At 38.9% G+C, this 11,097-nt stretch overlaps 3 annotated features.

The window, feature by feature from the left end:
* Window positions 1,872–2,423: an enhancer, noted in NCBI's record as "NANOG hESC enhancer chrX:28344371-28344922 (GRCh37/hg19 assembly coordinates)". NCBI's record gives its function as "activates a minimal SCP1, AML or CMV promoter by ChIP-STARR-seq in primed H9 embryonic stem cells {active_cell/tissue: H9 hESC(primed)}" and the evidence as "EXISTENCE:reporter gene assay evidence [ECO:0000049][PMID:30033119]".
* Window positions 3,912–4,467: an enhancer, noted in NCBI's record as "OCT4-NANOG-H3K27ac hESC enhancer chrX:28342327-28342882 (GRCh37/hg19 assembly coordinates)". NCBI's record gives its function as "activates a minimal SCP1, AML or CMV promoter by ChIP-STARR-seq in naive H9 embryonic stem cells {active_cell/tissue: H9 hESC(naive)}" and the evidence as "EXISTENCE:reporter gene assay evidence [ECO:0000049][PMID:30033119]".
* Window positions 5,103–6,033: an enhancer, noted in NCBI's record as "OCT4-NANOG-H3K4me1 hESC enhancer chrX:28340761-28341691 (GRCh37/hg19 assembly coordinates)". NCBI's record gives its function as "activates a minimal SCP1, AML or CMV promoter by ChIP-STARR-seq in naive and primed H9 embryonic stem cells {active_cell/tissue: H9 hESC(naive and primed)}" and the evidence as "EXISTENCE:reporter gene assay evidence [ECO:0000049][PMID:30033119]".

Here is an 11,097-nt window from a genome sequence, read left to right as displayed (position 1 = left end):
TTGGATTACTACTCCCATTCAAATGCATAATCATCCAAATAACCTCTCTTTGCCTCACAGAAGATTTATTAAAGTTGAAAAGACAGGTAGTAAGTGCAAAAGATGTATTTATCCACTCAACAAACATTTATGTTGTGTACCTATTATGTATTAATTCATAAGGCAAGGTATGTGAGAAAGAGATTTTAATGGTGGGGAGATGTCACTATTTTATATATGGTGGAAGGAAATATCTTTTTAAAGTGATAACATTTGGGCATAGAAATTAAAAGATAGAGCAAGCTGTGTAGATCTCTTAGGAAAAAGCATTCAAGGAATGGGAATAGCAAACACAAAGTCTCTGAAATGGGCATGAACTTGTGATGTTTATCACGAGCAGTTCACGTAGTAAGGGAAAGATGAGCTGGAAGGAGAGGAGGAATGTGAATCACGTGTTTTCCCTCATATGTAAAACAACAGCAACAACAAATTCTTTTGTTATATTCATTTCTTTTACCTGAGCCCTTACTACTGGAAAATAGCAGTGATTAAGAGAATCCCCGCCCCCATGCATTGTATCCTGGGAAGTGGATCATGGCAAAGAAACATAAAACTTAGATAAAATTCACAGATACCCACCCCCTACTGTTTACCTATGACAGGGTCAGATACAGACCTTCCCTACCCAATTTACGGCTTCATCTCATAAATGACCAGGTGAAATGTTTTGGCTGTACTGATCAATTGGAACAAAATACTTGTTAACCAAAATTTGGTTGTTTCTCTCCTCCCAGACCCCTAAAATTTGACCCACCCTCAGTCTGAGCCAGAATACAACCTCTCCTTAACAACCCCTTTTGAGAGTAAGCTTACTTCAGGGTAAAACATTATCTGATATGATCACACCACCCTCGCTTGCCTCCCTTTCCCCAGTAGGACTCCAGATACGATACCACAAAATATGGCACCTTCCATTTGAGAAAAAAGCAGAAGCAGAAAGGTCCTCTCACTTTTCCCCTGCCCTTCTCCCCCAGATGAAGGTCATAAGAGCCTGATTTGAGAGGTGCCTTCCCTGTATCTGGAGGAAAGGAACATCCTTATCTCTGTAGACACAGATGCACAAAGAGTAAACAAACATGTCTTGCTAAGTTCCCCTCAGTTTATTACCATTAGATCATACCCTTTTGTCCTCCAATCATATTTCACCATGACTGTCCACTTTTCACCAAGCCTAAGCATAAAAATACACAAGTTTACCTATTTTGGGGGTAAGGCTCCTGTGTCATGTAAAATTTACATTACATGCATTTGTATAATTTTCTCTTGTTAATCTATCTTTTGTCGTAGAGGCCTAAGCTATCAACCTAGTGATGGAGGAAGAAAACATATTTCCTTACTCCTTTACCCCCACCTGTTTCTTTCTAGTTTGGTTTACTCCTCCCTGTTAAAAAAAAGAAGCCCTTTTCTAAACCTGAACATACTTGCGGATCTCATGATAGAAGCACCTTCCCTATTGTATTAGCATCCCTCTTCTTCATGTAGTAACCCTTCTGAGTAAAGTCTTCCCTTAACTAAGTCTACATTTGATCTTAGCCAGAAGGCCGAGAAGTGATTCTAAGTCTAGATTTGTCTTTTATTTGACAATATATAGAAGAAGAAAATTCTGAGAGAGGGAACAACAAGTGCAAACTCTCTGAGGTGGGAATGTGTTTGTGATATTTTAGAAACTACAAGCGGGCCATTGTAGGAGGGGCAAGATAGCCTGGGAGAAAAAGCAGCAGATGAATATGAATCACATGTTTTCCCTAATAGATGAAAAAAAAATTTTTTTGTGATATTCATTGCTTTCTCACCAAGTCTTCCTGCCCCTTTGCTATTGAGGACTAAACTCTGATTTTTTTATCTTGCCCAAATTCCTGTCTAAGGGGTCTGGGGAGTCATGCCCTACAAACCATGAATTCTCATCAGATGAGTTTTATTTAACCCTATACATCATGACTTACTTTCCAATATGATTCTGGCATAACATTACAAGACAAGGAAGAAAATAATATTTTAGCCCAAAACATGTTTCTCTGCCATATCTTGAAATGGCCCTGCAAAGCTGTCCTTTGTGGGAGAAAATCTGCATATGTAAAGAATCTCTATTAACATAGCTAGATCTTTTTCTTCCAGCCTCTTGCAATCCTGAAGAGATTAACTAAAAGTCTAGCACCTTTTAAAGATCTGAATAGGAAACATTGGTCAAATACTGTCTCTAAGGGCAGCCACCATAAGACTTCCAAAGAACCTTGGTCTCCACAATCTTTTATTTTAACCTGAACATTTCTTTTCTATGGATCCCAGGTCTTTAGACAAACTCAACCAATTGTCAACCAGATACCTATAGCCTGGAAGCCCCGCCCCCCCAACCCCCCAGGTCTCATCTTTCTGAGCCAAACCAACGTATTTCTTAAACATATTTGATGTGTCATGCCTCCCTAAAATATATAAAACCAAGCTGTACCCCGAACACCTTGGGTACATGTTCTCAGGACCTCCTGAGGTCTGGGTCACAGGCCATGGTCACTCATATTTGGCTCAGAATAGATCTCTTCAAATATTTTACAGAGTTTGACTCTTTTCTTCAACACTATGGTTTAATATTTGTCCCTTCCAAAACACATTTAATCTTCAATGTGGCAGTATTGAAAGGTCGGGTTTTACGAGGTGATTGGGTCATGAAGGCAAAGTCCATTCATGACTTAATGAATTAATGGATTAATGAATTACTATGAGATTGAAACTGGGGGCTTTATAAGAGAGACGTGAGCATGCTCAACCCCTTCACCATGTGACAACCTGTACTGCCATGAAACTACAGAGTCTCCACCAGCAAGAAGGCTCTCACCAGATGTAGCCCTGTGATCTGGAACTTTTGAGCCTTCATAATTGTAAGAAATAAATACATTTTAAAAATAAATTACTCAGTTTCAGGTATTCTGTTATAAGCAATAGAAAACGGACTAAGACACCTTCCATTTTTGAGATTTACTGCATTAAATCATTGTATTTTTATCTTGAACAATTCAATGTCTGAGTGGCTCATCATTTACAAGGCTCAAGTGAAAGTCAGTAGCACACAGATGGTCTAGGAAAACAGTTTGTGTTCCCTATCTTGTTTGCGTGTCATCTTTAAATGTTGTTTTCCCAAAGTAGAATATAAAGATTTAAAAGCTACAGCTGGATTTCCAGTTTAGGTTGGTAGACGAGTACCTTATCACATAATCTCACTGCCAATATCCAAGGAAATAAAACAAAGAAACAAAAAATTAAAAACAAGTAATGAGTAGGATCACATACTAAGGTAAAGAATATGAAAGGGATATGAGACACAAAATGCACTAAGGAAATTATTTATTCAGGCAATTTCAATAGGGAGAACATTTATTAGGTAGGATTTTTTTTTCAGAAAAGTAGAAGAAAGCCTGGTGTTTTATAAAACAAGGGAGTTATTGAAGAAAGGTGGAGGTGGGTCTTATGCTGGCAAATGCAAGAGCAGTTTGGTCCTTTGCGGGTAGCCACTTCTGGGAACACAAAGGGGTTGGGAGCCTCCTTAGTCATTATTTTCCAGGAGCACATAGATCAGGTAAAGTTCAACACTGTCAGGCAAATAATCCAAAAGTGGAGGCCAAAGAAGGAAAAAAGAATATTCTGCATCATCTCTGAGGAGCACAACTGCTACTCCATTCCCCAATCCCAGACCCAAGAAACTCCTGGTAAGTTAAAAAATATTCTGGGAGTTGTCACCAAACTCCCAAATTTGGAAATAAGAAAACTGAACATTTATCTTTTCCCTCTTCTGTCTGTGGATTTAGGAAAAAGAGCCACTGGGGAGAAGAACGGGAGAGCTGACCCTTTCTAATGGAAATGATGATTATAGGCCTCACCCAATTGAAAGCAATTAGAATTCCGAGGTTTAAGAACTGCAAAACCTGTCAGTAAGAACACATCATCCAAACACCTGCGCTAAGAGACCTGACCAACATTTGCAGGGCTTCTAGCAGCCTAAGGTCATGTCCCTGGGACACAGCCCCCTTTTAAGTTCCTCTCTGGAAAAGCTCAGGTTTTTCAAAAGAACTGACTGTTCTAGCCAACACCTGAAAATAGGCCCCGGACCTCCCTTTCTTAGAGCATTTACTAGACAGGGCTTACAATGGTGAATCATTCCTCTGTCACTTTGAGATGTATATGCATCTCCTACAACTCGGAAGTGTTTTTCTGAAGGATGAGAGTCATTCCTTTGAAATGCAATCATTTAGATAGATAGGGCCTCTGTCTCCCGGTCTCTATAGGTGGATAGAATCCTAACTTCCGTACTTGCCAGCTAGCAGACATAGCTAGCCCAGTCGCATTGACACTGACCAACTCTTTGTAATTTTTGACTTCCTTGAATCCACTTGAGCACCTCCCCTCTTTTCCTTCCCTATATTCGTTCATTTTCCTTTTAAAACACCTAGTTACCTCTGTGTATATAGAAAAGGAACTCAGCTCTTTCACTGACTGTCAGCAGTCACTGAATAAAATATGTTTTTACCACTATAATGTCCAGCTTTGTTTATCTTTGGCAGATTTATTCCTCTGTGGCAATGGTATACACTACTTTTCAAGTAGGAGGGGTAAACGCTAATGAGACATTTAACAAACTCTTAGAAGAATGTGCTGAGCCTAAGAAATTTTTAACAAACATAAATCATTGCCTGAACTGAACTTTCTCTCCCATTATATGATCTCAAGTTATGGAAGCAGGCAGGTGGATGTAAGCGGGGTGAGGGATGAGGTGAAGTAGGTCTATAAGCTGTCTTCAAACTGCAGCTCAGAATGAAACAAAATGGTGGGAAAGGAGTTAAAATGTTATCTACAAAACATCAGAAAAAAACATAGCTAGAGAGTGGAGCCTAAGCTTCAGCAAGATGAAAAGGAACAGGATAACTATAAAAAAGGAAGGGTGAAAAGCAGGAGAAGCGAGGGTGATGTAAAACACAAATTATCCAGTTTAGAATAAAATATAGCCCAAGGAGAAGGTAATTCCCAACCTGTGCTTTGCATTATGAAACAATGTATGCATTCAATACAACTAGAGCTCAAAGATGAGATAATATAAGATGATAATGGAGATTGCAGACATAGAGGCCAAGGGAAAGCTTTCCTTACCCTCTGAAGGTTCACTGAAAATAGATTAATAGAAGAAATGGCATACAGATTGACTAAACGTGCATAGTGTGTGGTAATCATAGAATGAGTCTCCAATAACCCAATTAAATCCAGAGGTTTATATACTTTTCTTCATAGAGGAAGGGGAGATGGGGGTGGGGAGTAAATGTATTTTAGACGGGAATGAATGGACCCAGGAGGCAGACATTGTCTTGTAGATGATTCTCTTTGGAAACTGAATGGGACCAGAGAAAAACAATGGTTTGAAACAAAGTTCTTCTGGGCTCTAAGTGTGGTGGTTAATTTTCAGTCCTTTCCTCTGTGATATGTATTTTATTCTTCTGTAGTTAATAAAATTTCAGGGAAGGGGTTGAAGGTAATTGTGTTCCTCCTTGGTGGGTCTAGATTCAAGGTAGATAAGGGAACTTCAGAAAATAACTTCCTCCTGTGCATTGGGAGCGACAGAATGTTGAGAGTTGGGACCCCGGGATGAGGTCAGAGAGACTCTGAGACTGATTCTTTAGTTCAGCTTATCAAAGGGCCATATTTGGGGATATGTTTTTGCACCTGTGAAGGGAAAAATAAATATTGGGACCCCCAAATCACTAAGCTAAAGGGAAAAGTCAAGCTGGTGTTACGGGATGGTCTTTGTTCTTAGAGCTCCCAAGATGCGGTGGGCCGCTCCCAAGATGGCGGCAAGCCTTTTGTTCTCTGACTTGGGGTTCTTGGCCTCACAGATTCCAAGGAATTTAACCTTGGGCCATACGGTGAGTGTTATAGCTCTATTAGAAGCCATGGGTCACGGAAGAGAACCATGGAACCCAGTGACTAGTGTTCAGCTCAATTAGGACGAACCTGAGCACTTAGCCGTGCAGGAACAATGGTGAGTCTTTAGCCCGATCGGGAGCATCAATGGACACCTCGCTGGATCAGGAGTGCAGTGGACATCCTGCCGGATCCGGAGGAGGGGTGGAAGTCAACGGCGGGTCTGGGACGGCGGCGAACAGCAGTGGTGGACGGCAAGCGAAAGCTCAGCTCAAGCCGTAACAAACACGCACCAGAAGAGTGTGCAGTTGCAAGATCTAATAGAGTGAAAAGAGAGCTCCCATACAATGGGAGGGGACCCAAAGGGGGTTGTCCACTCCCTGCTCGAATGCCTGGGTTTATATCCCGATCACTGTCCCTCCCCCTATGCTCTCAGGCGATAAATGATTTGACTATTTCTTTACCTCCTGCTTTAGCCTAATTTGTATTTTGGTGAGGCCTCTTTACTACCTGATTGGTCAGGTGTGAGCTGAGTTACAAGCCCGTGTTTAAAGGTGGGTGCGGTCACCTTCCACAGCTAGGTTTAGGAATTCTTAGTCAGCCTAGGAAATACTGCTAGTCCTGTCTCTCACTGGGAACTGCTTAGGGCCAACCTGCCTCCCATTCTATTGAAAGTCACCCCTCTGCTCCCTGAGATAAATGCATATCTGATTACCTCCTTTGGAGAGGCTAATCAGAAACTCAAAAGAATGCAACCATTTGTCTTTTATCTACCTTGACCTGGAAAGCTCCCTCCCCTGCTTTGAGTTGTCCCGCCTTTGCTTCAAGTTGTTCCATCTTTCTGGATCGAACCAATGTTCATCTTACGTATGTTGATTGATGCCTCATGTCTCCCTAAAATGTATAAAACCAAGCTGTGCTCTGACCACCTTGGGCACATGTCATCAGGACTTCCTGAGGCTGTGTCATGGGTGCATGTCCTCAATCTTGGCAATATAAACTTTCTAAATTAACTGAGACCCATCTCAGATATTCAGGGCTCACACACTCTAACATTACACAGGCTGAAACTTCCCTAGAAGACTCATACATTAAAAGTTGAGTTCACGGCTGTGGAGAAAAAAATTGTGTCAGGAGCTGAGTGGCAAAAGATCCCATTAAACCAGTCTTTCATTTTTGGGAATAGGCCAGTCCAATTAAAATGCTACATCTCATTTCAGGAGATGGTGCTGTAGATGGGCTCTCAAAGCTAGGCCTTTATATATGATGCCAGCAAACAGATCGTTAATAAGAGACATTTCTATGGAAACAGAAGAAAAACAAAGGTTAATGTCTGGAGTAGTCTGTAAGCTAGTTTCTCCAGAGTCTGGAGGGCATTCAGTTGAGAAGATTAGTGGCAATCTGACAGATTTTTCTGGTTTGCAGTTTGTGTGTACAAAGTTTGTTCACATATAAGCTGTTGTGGGGATTTTTCTTCAAAGCCAAGTTGACTAGTTTCAGCCTCAGGAAAAAGGCAGTTTTAAATTTTAGCAATTCCCAGTCAGAAGTGTGGGAGAAAAACATGGAAAACATTAAAGACTCAGCCAGGTATTGGAGGAAAGTATAAGAAATTCAGATCCAGTTCAAGTTGCAGGTAACAAAATCTCAAAAACAATGAGCTGCCGGGAGCAGCGGCTCACGCCTGTAATCCCAGCACTTTGGAAGGCCAAGGTGGGCAGATCACGAGGTCAGGAGTTCGAGATCAGCCTGACCAACATGGTGAAATCCCATCTCTACTAAAAATACAAAAAAAACAAAAAAAATTAGCCGGGCATGGTGGCACATACCTGTAGTCCCAGCTACTCGGGAGGCCGAGGCAGAAGAATGGCGTGAACCCGGGAGGTGGAGCTTGCAGTGAGCCCAGATTGTGCCACTGCACTCCAGCCTGGGCGACAGAGCGATACTCCGTCTCAAAAAAAAAAAAAAAAAAAAAAACCAAACCAAAAAAAAAAAAAAGCAATGAGCTTAAATCTAATAATAGGTGTACTTTTCTTCTAAAACATAATTTTTTTTCTCCAGTACCTCATTTCTACCAAAGACAAATCAAAGAAAGACCAATTTATTTGCAAAATAAGCTCTAGTCATATTATACTTCACCTGATTATTTGAATAAAGTACAGCAAAGACAGTTATTGTTCATACAGGCTTTTTGTAGATTGGCTTAGCTGAAACTATTCATAAGAAATCTTGGATTAAACTTTTTTAAAAAGTCTCTTGAGGGTAAAGAGTCAAGCTAAGGATTGCCATCAGAATGATTCTGTAATACTTGTACAAATTGGGTGAATACTTCTCTTTTTGAGGTCCCCAAAATACTCTCAAGTTCTTGGGCCTTCTAGAAAATGACATTCTTTGCCCTCCTATAAAGGCAACCAGGTGAACTGCATATTTAAGGTATCAGGCCAGTTTTTCCAGGGGATTTAATTTTTTAAATTTTTTTATTTTTTTGCTTCCCAAGGAGTCGACCTCAATATCACAAAGCAGTCTGGTCACATCTGAAAATATAACATTCCAGTCAAAACCTTGGTAAAATAACCAGTATATCCAATTGTGTCCTGTTACAAAAGGACAAAAAACACATCCTCATGTCTTTCTTATAACTTTCATCACCAAAAATCAGCTCTATTTTTGTGTGTATGCTGTATACAGAACTGTTTCTTTTATGTCTAGTAGTTCCAACTAGATATGTTAATTAAAATTGTAACTTCTAGGAACCCTAATTTTCAGTCAGAGACATATGAAGCAAGCAACTTTCATTTTTATGTACCAAAACATTTTATAAATACATATTTTATAATTTTTAGGAAAATATGATTTATCAATTTTTATGGAAAAGGATATATTTACTAGCAAACCTGAATATATTTGGTCTTTTCATGAATTTTTATTGATACAAATTGTACATATTTATGGGGCACACGTGATACTTTGTTACATGCATAGACTGTATAATAAAATTGAGGTAGTGGGATGTCCATCACCTCGAGTATTTATCATTTCTATGTGTTGCGAATATTTCAAGTCCTCTCTTTTAGCTATTTTGAAATATAAAATGCATTGTTGTTATCTATAGTCAATCTACTCTGCTCTCAAACATTAGAACTTATTTCTTCCATCTAACTGTATGTTTGTACCCACCAACCAACCTCTGTTTATCCTTCTCCTCCAAACCCTTCCCAGCCTCTGGTAACAACCTCTATTTATCCTTCTCCTCCAAACCCTTCCCAGCCTCTGGTTTATATCATTCTATTCTCTACCACCATGAAATGAATTTCTCTAGCTACCACATATGAGCATGAACATGAGATATTTGTCTTTTTATGCCTGGCTTATTTCACTTAACACGATGACCTCCAGTTCCATCCATGTTGCTGCAAATGACATGATTTCATTCTTTTTTATGGCCAAAGAGTATTCCATCGTGTGTGTGTATATCTATATATCTATATATCACATTTTATTTATCCATTCATCCATGGATGGACACTTGGGTTGATTCCATATCTTTGCCATTGTGAATAGTGCTTCAATAAACATGGGTGTGCAGGTATCCCTTTGATATACTGATTTCTTTTTCTTTGGAGAAATGCCCAGTAGTGGGATTGCTGGATCATATTGTAGTTCTATTTTTAATTTTTTGAGAAATCTCCATACTGTTATCCATAATGACTGTACTACTTTACATTCCAACTTAGTTTATAAGAGTTCCCTTTTCTCTGCATCTTCACCAGCATCTGTTATTTTTTGTCTTTTTAGTAATAGCCATTCGAACTGGGTTGAGGTGATATCTCATTGTGGTTTTGATTTGCATTTCCCTGATGATTAGTGATGTTGAGCATTTTCTCATATACTTGTTGGCCATTTGTATGTTTTCTTTTGAGAAGTGTCTATTCATGTCTTTTACCTGCCTTTTAATAGCATTATTTTTTTTTCCTGTTATTTGAGCTCCTTATATATTCTGGATATTAGTCCCTTGTTGGATGAATGGTTCGCAAATATTTTCTCCCATTCAATGGTTTGTCTCTTCACTCTGTTGTTTCTTTTGCTGTGCAGAAGCTTTTTAGTTTAATATCGTACCATTTATCTATTTTTGATTTTGTTGTCTGTGCTTTTGAGGTCGTAGCAATAGAATCTTTGCCTAGCTCAATATCCTGAAATGTCTTCTGCATATTTTCTTCTAATAGTTTTACAGTTTCAGGTCTTACATTTAAGCCTTTAATCCATCTTGAGTTGATTTTTGTATACGATGAGAGACAGAGGTCCAGTTTTCTTCTAATGTATATGGATATCCATTTTTCCCAGCACCATTTACTGAAGAGTGTGTCCTTTTCCCACTGAATGTTTTTGGCACCTTCGTTGAAATCAGTTGGCTGTAAATATGTGAATTTATTTCTGGGTTCTTTATTCTCTTTCATTTGCCTATGTTTGTTTTTACAACAATACCATGCTGTTTTGGTTACTATAGCCTTATAATATACTTTGAAGCCAGGTAGCATGATGCCTCCAGCCTTGTTAGTGTTGCTCAGGATTGCACTGACTATTTGGGCTCGTTTTTTATTCCATACAAGTGTTAAGATTGTTTTTTCTAATTTTGTGAAAAATGGCATTGGTATTTTGACAGGGATTGCATTGAAACTGTAGATCGTTTTGTGAAGTATGGGCATTTTAATGACATTAATTATTCTGATCCATGGGCATGGAATGTCTTTCCATTCGTTTGTGTCCTCTTCAATTCTTTTCATCAGCATTTTTTAGTTTTCCTTGTACAGATCTTTTACCTACTTGGTTAAATTTATTTCTAACTTTTTATAGCTATTGTTAATGGAACTGCCTTCTTGATTTCCTTCTCAAGCAGTTCATTAATGGTGTATAGAAACACTACTAATTTTTGTATATTGATTTTGTATTCTGAAACTTTACTGAATTTATTTATCAGATCTGAGAGGTTTTTGGTGGTGTCTTTAGGTATTTCTAGATATAAGATCATGTCATTGGCAAAAAGGTACATTTGAGTTCTTATTTTTCAATTTTGATAAAATTTTTTTCTATTGCCTAATTGCTCTGGCTAGAAACTCAAGTACTATATCAAATAAGAGTGGTGAAAGTAGGCATACTTGTTCCATT

Source organism: Homo sapiens, chromosome X (genome assembly GCF_000001405.40).
Source record: "Homo sapiens chromosome X, GRCh38.p14 Primary Assembly".
In the NCBI taxonomy this organism is placed as follows: domain Eukaryota; kingdom Metazoa; phylum Chordata; class Mammalia; order Primates; family Hominidae; genus Homo; species Homo sapiens.
This window is presented reverse-complemented; position numbering and strand designations above follow the sequence as displayed.